The sequence below is a fragment of the Homo sapiens genome, chromosome 15 (assembly GCF_000001405.40).
Source record: "Homo sapiens chromosome 15, GRCh38.p14 Primary Assembly".
In the NCBI taxonomy this organism is placed as follows: Eukaryota; Metazoa; Chordata; class Mammalia; order Primates; family Hominidae; genus Homo; species Homo sapiens.
The window spans coordinates 51,108,955-51,123,659 of NC_000015.10; the positions used below are offsets into that span (position 1 = coordinate 51,108,955).

At 42.9% G+C, this 14,705-nt stretch overlaps 1 long non-coding RNA gene across 1 annotated transcript in view, besides 1 other annotated feature; it reads left to right on the top strand.

The window, feature by feature from the left end:
* The window catches only part of MIR4713HG (MIR4713 host gene), a 256,425-nt gene that overhangs the window by 71,467 nt on the left and 170,253 nt on the right, over nt 1-14,705 (top strand). The window lies entirely within an intron of this gene.
* Nucleotides 12,198-12,492: an enhancer, noted in NCBI's record as "tiled region #3311; K562 Activating DNase unmatched - State 12:CtcfO, and HepG2 Activating DNase matched - State 9:DNaseU". NCBI's record gives its function as "activates a minimal TATA promoter and a strong SV40 promoter by Sharpr-MPRA in K562 cells, with weaker activation in HepG2 cells {active_cell/tissue: HepG2 | K562}" and the evidence as "EXISTENCE:reporter gene assay evidence [ECO:0000049][PMID:27701403]".

Sequence of the window (14,705 nt, forward strand, 5' to 3'; positions counted from 1 at the left end):
GGTAGGGAAGGTGTAGTCACAAGAAGGAATAGTGACATTCCTGCAAGGGACAGTCTCTTACACAACCATTACTTTCTGAGCTCATGCTTTCAGAACAGGATGTTTCATTTTCTTTCTCCTCTTCCACATTATCACCACTGTGCCCTGACCTCCTCTGGAAAATAACACTGCTTCTTCAGCGAGGCTCCCTGGAAACATCTCAGATGTCGGCTAGACTGTGGGTGAGGCTTCTGTCATTCCCAACTCTGAGAGCCTGCTTGTTTCTGGGCACTGACACACAGAGGCATGCCATTTCTCCCCATATATGGACGGGAACTGGGAAATGTGTTCTTGGTACCAAAATAATTCCTCTCAATGGATTCAGTCATGAGCAGATCAGGCAAGCATCATGACCATGGGCTTCTGGGTGGGGCTTGGACATTCTTGCATTTTGTGTCATGAATTGTTCACTGTAATGATACCCTACTTGCTGCCTTCTTGGTGAGGCAGTGATTTTAAGCACCAGAAAGGAGAAACCCTGACCTGTGGGCAAGAACTCCATCCAAGACCTAACCACAAGCTGCTGTTTATCTGGGTAATACTGCTGAAACTATGACTTAAATTCTCAAATTTCTCTAATGGCTTGTCTGTGTAAATGATCTTTTGGTTACTACTGGAGTTATAAGTAGGTATGAAGTGACTCAAGGGGTGATTTGGGTGAGCCAAACAGCTGGACACCTTCTCCCTGCTGGCCATGGCGCCTGAAGTTCTGTCATCAGTGCTTCACATCACTGAATCAAAAGGAATTTTTCAGTGTCCAAGAGTTCCCTAATAAAAATTTTCCTGGATTGATACTTGAAGCAGGTAGATGGGAGTCAAGGTAGGCTACTGCCCTCTGTAAACTCAGCCCTCTCCTCCCCAGTTCCCAACCTACTAGCAACTAGTACCTGTGACCTTCGTAAGGTCCTGGTTTTGTCTGTACCAGTTCAGGATGTTAGTGTCCTTCACATGCCAGCAGATAGGGTTTGGCAGTTCACTCACTCATTATTAAGTCAGCAAATAGTTATTGGGCAGGTCCATCTCAGGGATCAGGCATTTTGGCCAGACTCTGGGCATACTGGAGTGAACAAAGTCCCTGCCTTCATGGAGCACACATTATAGTGTAGGAAGTAGAGAACAACAAGTTCACCGGTAATATACATTGGTGATATGGTGGCAAGTACTGGGGAGACAATGAGGTGGGGCTGGAGAGTGAAAAGGATGGGGAAAGATGTGAATGATATTGTATATGGCAGACAGAGAGGTTCTCTTGGCTGAGGTGACAACTGGGCAGAGAGCTATAAGCAATGAGTGAGCTATTGGGACCAACCAGCATGCCAGGACAGGGAGTGGCTGGGGCAGAGCCCCTGAGTGGGAGCCTGCTTGGTGGGGCTGAGGAACAGCAGGAGGCCCAGGTGGTTGGGTGGAGGCATGGAAAGGGTGGTAGTGAGGAAGTCAGAGAGGTGGAGTGACAGGAGCAGTTACTCCTGATTCCCCAGTTTGAGTGCCTAGAAGGCGTGGAGTAAGCCCTGGTAGAGCACTCACTCGGGGGCTCCATCCTGAGCCCTGGTGACCTGGATGAGGCCGTGGAAACTGCCTGTCGACTCTCTTAGGGCTATAACCCCATCCTTCTCTTCTGTATCAGCAAATATCATCCTGGCTACAGGGTGCTTTCCAGGGCCCTCCCTGGGATGACCTCTATAGCCTTTGATTGGCCACTTCCCACCTGCCCTGCACAAGCAGTGGGGGCAGGCATCTCGCAGGTGGCTCCCCTTTGCCCCAGCCCTATTCTGTCCCAGCTTCTGTGCTACCCCATAACCGTCCCCCACAACCATCCTCCCATCCCTTTACTGAGCTTGGACCTGTTTGCGTGAAATTATCAAGAGCTGTGAGAGCAGTTGTGGGCAAACACCTTCCACCTAGCCCGCCCTGGCTAAGCCTCTCCCGCCCTGGGGAAATGTACTGAGTGCTTGCTATGTGCCAGGAACTGTGCCTTTCATATGTCAAGATTTCATTTAATCTACCCCACTTCTCAATGAGGTAATACTACTAAGTTTTAGCCCAATTTTACAGATGAGGAAATGGCTAAGTAATTTGGCCAAGGTCACACAGCTGGTAAGTGGTGAAGTTTTGGTTGAAACCTAAACCTGTCTTCCCCAGAGTCCTTCTTATTGAATGTGTGCAGGAAGAGGTTCTGAATGGAGAATGATAACAGGGACAGTTCTATTGCTCTAGGCATCAAGGAGCTGATCTATGCATCCTGCTCACATTGTTCGCCCACCAGGAATGAAGATCCTGGAAACTCTCCCATCATCCTCCACCAGTGACAGCTCTACTATTCCAGCAACAAAAACGGCTCTGCTTATCTGGCCTGGAGTTCCCTGATTCCAAAAAGAAAAAATTCTGCATTTGTAGTATTTTCCCTGATGTATAAATATTCTTTTTCCTGGCCCTAATGCCTAGCCTCCTACATCCAACTTTCATTGAATGCCTGGTGGGTAGCAAGGGCTGGGAACACAAAGCCAGTTACAGCCTGGCCCCTGCCATCATGGGGCACCCAGAGCAGAGGACCAAGTGACCTCTCGAGGCAGCTGCCCCATGACCCTGTTTTCCTGATGGAAAAACCACACTGCTGTCTTCCCCCACAATTCCCCTCAGATCTGCAGGTTCTCACTGAGCAACTATTACCTGTCAGGTATGGTCTTGGGCCTGCTGAGGACACAGTGAAAAATGAGACCCTTCCAGTCTTAAGGAGTTAATAGCTGGATTTTGGGGGACAGGAGGCAATGCAGAGCAGGTGCAAGACAAGTACCCCAAACCCTCTGCCGGCAGGCAGACTATAAGGCGTCTTGTTGCTGAGCTATGTGTTTAAAAACAAAACAAAAAGTAAATAAAGACAATGCCATTTCAACAAGAGGAACCTGAAATGAGAATGGAAAAATATTTTAAAATTTTCATGACATTCAAACTGAAAATTATTTTGAATTAAACTGGTGTTTTGAAAAAGTTCCACATTTATCTCACGTGGCTTTTTGAGAGCTTTCTAGTAGATTAGGAAGCTCCTGTGCAACTGGTTAGTTCTGTTTTCACTCAGCCTCCAGATGTAGAACTCATAGGGAAAATCAACCCTGTTTCCAGGAGGAATTACAAAAACATAGATTTGAAGGCAACTTTCTTTGGCTCAGAAAGTATCATTTGTTTTCTGTTGTGGTTTCATTTGGGTCTCCTCATTCCTCAGGGAGAGCCAGGAGAAGGCCCAGTGTCCCCAGAGCTGTGAGCTACTGGGCACTGTTGGGAGATCACTTGGCACTCTGAAGTGCCAAATGTCCTCTCTGCCACCAGGCGTGTTCCTCATAATCTGCTACAGTGCCTAAAATTCTACCATGAGAGGTTTGCTGATTTATTTGACAATGTTTTCATCACACTACCTCTGGAGGCATCATCTCCAAGCAGCAAAACTTTTTTTGCAGGGGGATGATGGTAATGCAATGAGCTTTCTGCAAATGAACTCTTGTACCAAAGGCCCTGGCATACGTAATTCAGATGCGAATTAGGGATCTCCCTCTCCTTGCATTCTAGGTGAGATTCTCTAGACATCTCTCTCTCCCCAACTCTACCTACTTCCACAGGCTGATGAAGCCCCGGGGTGTGACAATCTTGTGGTCCCCTCAGCTTCTGGCTTCTGCGTCCCATTTTCTTTTCTTTCTTTCTTTTCTTTTCTTTCTTTTTTTTTTTTTCGAGATGGAGACTCACCCTGTCGCCCCGGCTGGAGTGCAATGGCATGATCTCAGCTCACTGCAACCTTCGCCTCCTCGGTTCAAGAGATTCTCCCATGTTCAAGAGATTCTCCCACCTCAGTCTCCTGGGATTACAGGCATGCACCACCACACCTGGCTAATATTTTGTAACTTTAGTAGAGATGGGATTTCACCATGTTGGCCAGGCTGGTCTCGAAATCCTGATCTTGTGATCCACCCGCCTCGGCCTCCCAAAGTGCTGGGATTACAGGCGTGAGCCACTGCGCCCGGCCCCCATTTTCTTATACATCCCCCTGATGCAGAGCTCAGGCACACTACAGTTACCATGGGCACACATTGTGGTGAGTGTTTTGTGAGTTTTGTGGAGATCCCTGAAGATTTCAGGGATATCTCAAGAGAGTTCATTCTGTTGCCAGGCTCATCCTTTTGTCCTTTGACTTCTCACACCCAGATTCTCTTGGGGCTCCACATTTCTCTCTCTGCACTTGGACTACCTAACTTCACCTGGCCCGAGTGAATCCCTCTTCCCCGCCAAGAAACACACTCCCTCGCCAACATCCACTCACTGCCTAAGCCTGGGACCGGTCATCCTTCTTTCCTTCTCTCTCTCTCTGTGTCTCATGTCCAAATACCAAGTCATATCTACCCTAAATACCTCTATTTCTTCAAGCTGGATACCGAATTTCAACATGGGAGTGCTCAAAGAATATCTGCTGCTGGGAGGGTTACAGGGCTGGGGGCTCATTTCCTAGCCGTAGGAGCATAGCTAAACACTGCTTTGAATTTAACTTTCTGTTTATTGAGGTGACTTTCGGAGGTGCTTTGATCGAGATTATGGGAAGTGGTTAAAGACCCCTAACCTCTCTGCCATCACTGTTCCTTCTCTCAGTCCCTGCCACCACCATACCCCTGAGGGAGGCAGGGCAACTACACAGCCTCCCACACAGAGTCCCTGCCTTCCTGCTTCTTCTGACCCATTCTCCACACAGCCCCCAGGACTGGCTTTCTGCAAGTTGAATCCAATCCTGCTGTTTCTCAGCTTCAGTGGTCCTTGTGGCCCTTCAGCTAAAAACCCAAATCCATTACACGACCTGCAGGGCCCACCAGTCTGGGCCCACCTCTCCAGCATCAGTCCAGCCTCCCTCAGATCAGCCACGCCAACCTGTTTTCAGTGCCATGGGTGCCCCTGTGGTGTTTGCACAAACTGTTACCTCTGCCTGTAACACTCTACATGCCCTGCTACCTGGTGAAACCCTTTGGATCTCTGCTTACCCGCCCAGCTAGACATCACTCCCTCTGGGATATATTCCTGATGCCCTAGGCTACCGCATAGGGTGCTGGCATGGAAAATTTTTGCTGAAGTTAATAATAATAATAGTCCCTAAGTCGAGGGCTTCCCTCGCTGACTGTATTGCCAGCCCTGCTTTCCAGACAAGCCATTTTGCCCAAAGTTCTATCCCAAGTCTCTGACACAAGCCTGGCAGATCATAGGTGCCCAGTAATTATGTGCTGAATAAATGAGTGAATGAATGAATGAACAGGGTGCCAAAGGGATGTTTCCATGTGAAAACAGATCTCACGATGTTTCATCTGGAAAAGAGACAACATGCAGGGGCAGGGAGGCTGTGCATGATCACTACCTGAGGTTGCTATGAGAGATGCTGGAGGATTAGAAATGAGGTGCACAAAGCCTGGGACCCAGTAAGCTTTCATGGAAGAACACTTCCCCACCCCCGTACCCATCTCCTCATTCCTTCTCCCACTACCCTCCCTGAGTGCATTGAATGAGGGGCAGGAAACACAGAGGTCAGAGAAGCAGGTTTCTGGCCCTGAAAGAAGTTTTGAACAGACCGTTCTGGAAATGAAACTGGATCCTTGTGATGGTGACATCCCTGCCCTGCATCATATGATGTTGAAACAGGGGTGCCATGTGCCAGAAGAGGTGGGCAAGGGAAAAGACCAGATGGCCCTTAGGTTTCCTTCTCTCTCCAAGAAGATGATTCAATTATGTCATCTTTTCATAAAAATCTTCTTTTGTTGCCTTGATTTAAAATAGGTGTAGGGATGCTGCAAATTTAAATGTGAGAGAAATCTCAGGAAAATTATGTTACTAGGAAACCAAAAAGGTTTGGCATTCTTTCAAGAGGAATTTCTATTCTGTCACCATGTATTGTTCCTGAGGTCCTGCCAAACCGAATTCTTTATATGCGGCAAAGTCTTCTTTGGGCTGGATTCCCTCCAAAAATGGCCAAGGCTCACATCTCTGAGCGCCAAAAGCTACTTGTTGGTTATGGCCTTTCTTGCCCTTTTAGGAATTAAAGCCTAAGGCAGGGTTTTAAAGTAAGCTTCTTATTCCAAGCAAGAGTGTGGATTTATTCTGGACATTTGGGCTCTGTCAATAAAACATATAAAATTTCTCCACATTGGCACTATGGCATTTTGGGGCAGGTGGTTCTTTGTTGTTGGGAGCTGCCCTTTGCATTGTATGATGCTGTGGCAGCATGTTTGGCCTCTACCAACTAGATACCAGTAGTACCTCCCCACTTGTGACAACCCAAAATGTCTCCATATATTGCCAAATGTCTCCTGGGGAAGCAAAATCAACCCTGATTGGGAGCCACTGATCTAAATAAAAAGAATGGAAGTAAGTTGTGTAGATGTTCAGTTAGTCTAGGTAACTAACCAAATCGCACCTGGAACCCAGCTTTTCTGACCTCATAACTTGGGCCTAGGAGGTAGGACCTTGATGTGATTAAGATCAAGGACCCAAAGTCAAATGACCTGCATGCATATCCTGGGCTTACTATCTCAAATTCTCAATCTTTGTGAGCTTTAGCTTCTTCATCTGTGAGATGGGCCGATAATTGTACTTATCCTACTGGGTGGTCAAGAGAATTAAATGAGATACTGTTTGCAAAGACTTATCATACCACCTTAGTAAGGCTACAAGTCTTGTGACCTATTATTGTTTGTGACAAAAACTCTGTAGGCCAAAAAAGATAATCTATTCTTTGACAAATAACTTAAATACCTGCATGCATTCCATATTGGACAGCATAGGCTAACTGCTATAACAAACAACCCTGATGTTTAAGCGGCTGAACACAATAAAAGTTTATTTTTCACCCACCCACTAGTCCATCACAGGTGTTTCTCATAGGGCTGCTCTCTGGGAGGCTCAGTCCCAAAAAGTGAGTCAGGAGTCCAGGCTCTTTCCATCTTGTGGCCCTGTCTCCTTTAGGATCTTTCCTAAAGCATGAATGTTCTGTGCAAATTGAAAGAATTCTGAAGTCAAATAAATTTGAGAAATAATACGCTAATGAACTCTTTCTTGGAAATTCAAAGTGCCATTAGCATATGAAGGACTCTGATAAGTTCTGCAGTAAAGAAACCTGTTGGGCTTTGTTTAACCCAGTGTTTATTAAAAAGTTAAACTTCTGGGCCAAATGCAGTGGCTCACACCTGTAATCTCAGCACTTTGGGAGGTCGAGGCGGGTGGATAATTTGAGGTCAGGAGTTCAAGACTAATTTGCCCAACATTGTGAGACCCTGTCTCTACTAAGAATACAAAAATTAGCTGGACATGGTGGCGTGCACCTGTAATCCCAGCTACTCGGGAGGTTGAGATAGGACAATCGCTTGAACCTGGGAGGTGGAGGTTGCGGTAAACCGAGATCGCGCCACCGCTCCCTCCAGCCTGGGCAACAGAGTGAGACACCATCTCAAAAAAAAAAAAGTTAAACTTCTGTGGGTATTGACTTCCCCTGCTATTTAAAAATGCTGTCCTATCGGCTATTAACATCTCCATGGGACAAGCACCCTGTGGGAAATCTGCATGTTGGTTTTGAGCAGAGGAATGACATGGTCAGACCTGTGTTTCAGGAAGGGAATTTCAGAGACAAATATAAAGTAGCTTGTAAAGACAAGTAATTGGACCCAGAAGGTGGCCTCTGTCACAATCTAAGCAAGTGATGGCCTGGCTGGTTCAGTACCCTTTGCACCCTGCTTTTTAAATCTTATTCTGCACACTTTTTCATATCTATTCATATGATTAGACATCATCATTTTAATGGCTTCATGGCATTCCATTTTATGGGTATATTATAAAGAGACTAATACAGAATTATGTTCCTTACAATACATGATTTTTAAAGTTTTAAAAGCTAACTGGGGTTACATGCCCTCAGGACAAGACACATAAACACATTTTGTAGACAGAAAAAAAAAAAAGAAAAGAAAGCAGCTCCATGTTCTGGTGTCATCTTGGAAAATAACTCCATTGTTCAGTTGTTTCTACTATGGTTCCTTTAGGAGCTGTTTGTTCTCCTTTTTATATCTAAACATACTTTCTGCAGAATCATTCTCTGAAAAAACACCCTGTGTAATTTACTTTCAAATAAAAATACGCTTCCTCCTGATATGAGACATTCAGAAGAACCCAATGGCATTACTATGTGATGCTAAAAGGGCATAATCGGAATCTAATGATGATGAAACATCAGAGAAAGCCAAATCTGGGATATTCTACAAAATAACTAGTTATTCTTGCAACTTTTCTATAAGTCTGAAATTATGCCTAAGATAAAATAAATTTTAACGAGAATACAAACATAAACTCTTTCATTTTTATTCCTCTCAGAAGACCTAGACATGCAGCTTGAAGTGTTTGGATGTGGTTGACTGGTGACTCATTAACCTTGAGAAAAATCACAGAAATTTAGCTTTCCTTGTCAGTATTGCCAATAATTCACCATCTTTGGTGTCAGCCCTGATGACACACAATCTTTCAGCTCACCATTCTCTCATGCTTGCCCTCCTCTCACTGAACCTGTCCATCCAGCCATTGGCTCCCAATCATAAAAACACTGCATCATGCCCATATCTACCTGACTATGGTTTTGCATGTACCTGTCTAGGATTCTCTCTGTGTTGATCATAACAGTCAGGATTTTGGAGAATACTCAACATCTCTGGGTCAGATCAATAATTGTAGACATTTTCTTAAGACGCTATTTTTTCCTCATACCCCATCTTACAGTGATGAGATAAAATATATTTAGACTTGAATATTCCCTTCTCTCCTTTTGATTAGGAGAATGTTGTCTTTATACCTCAACTCTTGCTCCCTATATCTCATCCCTTCCCCGACTCCCCAACCCCAGTTAGGAGTGCTTTCATTTGTCTGAAGGGTTCCAGGACTTTTGCGACACAGAAAGGTTGGAACAGAGAGGTTAGAGTGGAAGGGGAACAGCTTAGCCCAAAAATTGAAGTTGATTTTTATAATAAAGTGCAGGAAGAGAGGAGAAAACGAAAGAAGTGAAGGAGGCGATTAGGCATATAGCAAATAAAAGATTATGGAGTAGTGTGTTTGGAGGAGGAGGGGGAAAAACAGGGATTGAAGAAGAATTGCTGGGAGCTATGCATTGGAGAGATGGAAGTAAAAGACAGGAATTTTTCTTCTTTTTGGTTGATTTTCACTGTTTGGATTGTGTTTTTTATTGTTACTCCATATAAAGCCTGGACACATGGATCTGGGATTTATAATGGTTATGTTATTCCCAATCTTTCAGTAGCTTCCTATTGCCTATAAAATAACTTGCAAGCTCTTTAATCTTGTCATTCAAACCCTGTACTCCATGTCCAATCTGGCTCTTTGCAACCTTCCATTTCTTGTAGGAACCCTTTCCTCCAACGAAATTGGCTGACTTCCCATGCTCCCAATATGCCATGTGGTGTGCTCACTCTGTGCCTCTGCTCACCTTCCCCCCATTTGCAGTCTGGCTTAGAAGTCTTTCTTCTCCTTAAAAACTCCCTTCCTAGAACTAGAAATACCATTTGACCCAGCCATCCCATTACTGGGTATATACCCAAATGACTATAAATCATGCTGCTATAAAGACACATGCACACGTATGTTTATTGTGGCATTATTCACAATAGCAAAGACTTGGAACCAACCCAAATGTCCAACAATGATAGACTGGATTAAGAAAATGTGGCACATATACACCATGGAATACTATGCAGCCATAAAAAATGATGAGTTCACGTCCTTTGTAGGGACATGGATGAAATTGGAAATCATCATTCTCAGTAAACTATCGCAAGAACAAAAAACCAAACACCGCATATTCTCACTCATAGGTGGGAATTGAACAATGAGATCACATGGACACAGGAAGGGGAATATCACACTCTGGGGACTGTGGTGGGGTGGGGGGAGGGGGGAGGGATAGCATTGGGAGATATACCTAATGCTAGATGACGAGTTAGTGGGTGCAGCGCACCAGCACGGCACATGTATACATATGTAACTAACCTGCACAATGTGCACATGTACCCTAAAACTTAAAGTACAATTAAAAAAACAAAAAACAAAACAAAAAAAAAACTCCCTTCCCTGGAAGCCTAGGCCTTTCCAGTGTCTCATTCCTTTGTACTTCTATAGCACTTCTTGTACATCTCGCCCTGTAGTTCTCATTCCACCATCTCTTCTCATTAGTCACCTTTTCTTTGTGTGTGACTGGCCTCCCACTGGCTTGATAAGCTCCCTGAGGGCAGAAATGCCTCCCCTGTAGTGTCTAGCTCAGTGGCTGTGGCTGGTAGGCTGCAAACCCTTCTGTGATCTTAGTGGCTATGCCGTCTGACTAAACCACTTCCCACACCCTGAGTCTGGTAGCCAGAGGCTTTCTTAGCTCTATTCTCCCTGTTGAGTGAGCCAAGCACTACCTACACGGCAGCCCCTTCCAGACCTTTGATTTAGTTTAGGAAATTCTAGCAGATATTTGTAAGCAAATTCTGCTCCTCTCCCACATAGTTGTGCCATTGGCCGAGAATTTCACTCATTTTATTTGCAGATTCCACCTTTAAGAAGGTTAATATCATCTCTTCCCATGTATTAGATATGCTGGACCCAGACCACAGGGCTTCAAACACATGATCTGTACTCTAAGGCATTGTGTGCTTGAGATCTGCTTCTATTCATGACATCTTCGGTCCTTATTTATAAATATTCTTCTTTATTAAGGCATTTGAGGTCTATTAAGTACTCCCTATATTTAAAGATAATATTTTATAGCAACTTTTAAAAAAATCAATGTGTCAATATGTTGCTGTGTTATAAATTCCTCCTTTACCTCCTGGAGTCACAGCTATTCCTCGATGTCTTATTCTCCATCTTTGGGCTACTTAGCTTTAAGATTTTTCTGGACTACTTATTTTCCTGCACCAGAAGCTTCAAATGGTTTCCAAGTCAACAAAGGAAAAGTCTTAACTTTGCTTATCTCTCTCCATATCATCCCTCCCTGTTACTCCTGCCTGCCCTTCTCTTTATAATAGGAAAGAAGACAAAGTTTGTTTGTTTTTTTTTCCAGAATATATCTGTGCTGAGAGCAGAACAGACTCATCCAGCTAGGATCTTTCCAATCCTGGGATATTTTCTCAGTGAATTTAGTTCCCTCCCTCCCTTCCTAACTTTTCGAGAAGCAGCCCTTCAGTTAACATGGATCCATCACCTCTATCGGCTTTGTGACCAAAACCCTCTGAGCTGCCCTCTCCTCATTGGTAAGACAGGGACACGACCTTCTTCCCTGGGTAGCTCTAAAGATTAAATGAGATATGACATAATCTAATAATCTAAACTATATAATCAAATGCCTAGTATGGTGCTTGACATAAGGAAGGAGTTGAAGAGATGTGAGGTCTTTTCTCTGTAGGGAAGAAGAAATTTCTTTCCTCATCCATCAATAGGTTCATGCCTGAGACCTTTATAACAAAAGGCAGATTAACAAAAGAAAAGCATACACATTTATTTAATATGAGTTTCATGTGACACTGGAGCCTTCAGAAATAAAGACTCAAAGAAACAGAGGAAACTATATTTTTATGGACAGTCATGCAGAAGTATGATTGGAGGACAGAAGGGTGTGATTTACTGGTAATAAACTGGGGGGAACTTACCATGGCCTGTTTGTTCAGATGCTTCTCTGTGTCTCTGTGTGACATTTCTTTCCTCCAGGTATAAGGAGGATGTCTCTGGAATGAGGCTTTTATGACCTACTTTTAGAAGATTAGAGAATTCTTTCATGGCCTGCATCAGGAGAGGAGGGTGGGAGAAGGCCAGGGAGACCTTCCTGCCACTGCTGTTTTCTCAAATGCCAAGGTGCCATATCTTGGGGTAGTATGTCCTGACCCCCATCATCCCCCTCGTTCTACCTAAACAATACCTTAGAACAGTGGCCCTCAAACTAGGGTTACAAGAAACAAATGGGGTCCTTGAACAAAATCAGATTCCAGGGTCCCATACCTAGAGAGTCTGACTTAGTGGATCTGAATGAGGCCAAGGAATCTGGCTTGTTCGTCAGGCCATGATTCTAATACAGGTGGTTAGTAGATCACGCTGTGAGAGACCCTGCTTTAGAATCATAAAAGTATACAAAGATAGAGCTGGAAGAGACTCTAAAATATTTCATCCTACACCTACTCCCCATTCTGCTGGAGACAGACTGAGGTTAGGTGACTCACCCAAGGTCACAGAGGGAGGCAGTGCAGGGCTAAAACAGGAACTCATGTTCCCTGACTCACAGGGTGACTTGGACTACACCAGGCGATCACCTCTTCTTTATCAGGAAACAATGCCTCTCCTGGCTCAAGCTGAGGTTGCCCTGAGCAACTCCTTGGCAGTGGCTTAAGCTCTCAGCCTTCTTAGTCAAAAGTCCTTCTAGAAACTGTTTTCTGTAAGGATTACTCCTGTATAGCAGCCTACACATCCTTTCCATAGCCTTGTTGAGTGTGTCTTCAGATTAGGAAAAAATTTCTTCAATTATTTCTTTGATTATAGTGGATACTTTTCTGCTCTTTAATATTTTCTTCCAGCATCCTTATTAATTGAAGATTGAAATAATTTTTACTGGCAAAACATTTCTTTGTTCAATTTTGATTGTTTTATTATAAAACACAAATATGGAAAATGTAAAACAAAAGAAATGATAGCTTAGAGGATTGTTATAAGGCAAACATCATTCTAACCTCCTCCCAAGTGAAAAAACAGAATTCTGCCAGCTACCCTAGAAGCCCTTTCATGGGCCCTGTTCCAATGATGACCTCCTCCATCCCTCCAAAAGTAACCATGATCTTGACTTTTATGGTAACCACTTCCTTGCATATCTTTACAGTTTTATCACTCCAATTGTGCATCCCTAGACACTCAAGTTTAATTTTGCTCCTTAAAGAAATCTGATATGTCTTTTAAATCTCTTTCAAACTGCAGATTCCCCTCCATCTCTTTCTTCTTCTGACAGTTTATCTTTTGAAAAACCTGTTCCATTTGACATATGGAGATTTTGATAGTCATGGTTTTGCAAATTGCATTCTTGCGGTGAAATTCAATGTTTCTCCATCCTGTATATTTCCTACAAATTGGCAGCTGTATCCAGAGGTTTGATTGAACCTATATTTGATCCCTTTAACTGGATTGTTAGTGGTGTGTGTTTTTTCATTAGGAGGCTCATAATGTCTGTTTTTCACTTTTTTATCTTATATTAGCAGCCATTGGTGTTTGATGTCTAGATCCAGTAATTCACTGGAGGGTTGTAAGATGGTGATATACTTTTATGTCTTTTTCACTTATTTACTGGAATAATTTTATACAAAAAGACCCCCTCCTCCATCTACTATTAAGATACCTAGCAGTATAGTTTATATAAGAAAGGCAAAACAAATTCTTTAGTCTTTTATGTACCCAGTTTTCAAAATGACCAGCAGGCTCTCTGTCATCCTCTGAAGATGAGTATTATTTTTTCTTAATGTAATTAATTATGAACCATATTTGATTGGTTTCAGTCCATTGTAATGTTTATCCTTATTGAAACTCAAAATGCCCATATTTGGCCAAAGATGATTCCTCAGTCCTTTGACATGAACCTCATAGACTTTGATAGCTTCCTTGCTGTCTGGCATGACAAGGTGTCTGGCATGACAAGGCCTTGTAAGGCTTATTGCGTGTATTTTCTGCCCCAGAACAAAAACAGACCATTTCTCCAAGAAATTGGAGGTGATACTTCAAGTCCTCAATTCTGGGGGCTATATTGGCCATTGGGTCATTATTTATGTCTTTACAGTAGGCAGAGGTAGAAAAATGCACACACACACACACACCCACACACACACACACTTATTTAAAGATAAAACAGCTTGTGATTTCATTTGATGTTCCAAATTCAAAACAAATTAAAGAAAAATTTAAACACATTTTTGTTTTAGGATAATTTTAGATTTATAAAAAAGTTGCAAATGTACTCTGTATGCTTATGGAATAAAATGTTGAAATGTTTGATAATAATCAGGTTTTCTTTTCCTTATAAGTCATTTGCTCTTTTGCCTAGATGCCAAAGCATTGTTTTCCTTTTTTAAAAATTAGAGTCCAGTCATTTTACTATGGTATTCTGTTCCTTTGCTTTAGTTTTTATCTTTAGGCACTTCTATTATCAATTTGTTGGATCTTCTTTGATATCTTCAATATTTGTTTTTTTCCTGTCAAATTCTTTTTGTCTGTTTTTTTAAATTTAATAATTATTTTTTTCTTTTCTCCATCTATTTTTCTTGAGGAATTATTTATTGTGTCTGTTTGCTCTGGTGGTACTTGAATATATAAAAATATATTTATATAGATATGAAACCTTTCACTTTTATTTATTTATTTTAAATTTTATTTCATTTTATTTTAAGTTCTGGGATACATGTGCAGGACGTGCAGGTTGTTACATAGGTAAATGTGTGCCATGGTGGTTTGCTTCACTTATCAATCTGTCACCTAGGTATTAAGCCTAGCATGCATTAGCTATTTATCCTGATGTTCTTCCTCCTCCTGCCCCCCTGACAGGCCCCAGTGTGTGTTGTTCCCCTCCCCGTGTCCATGTGTTCTCATTGTTC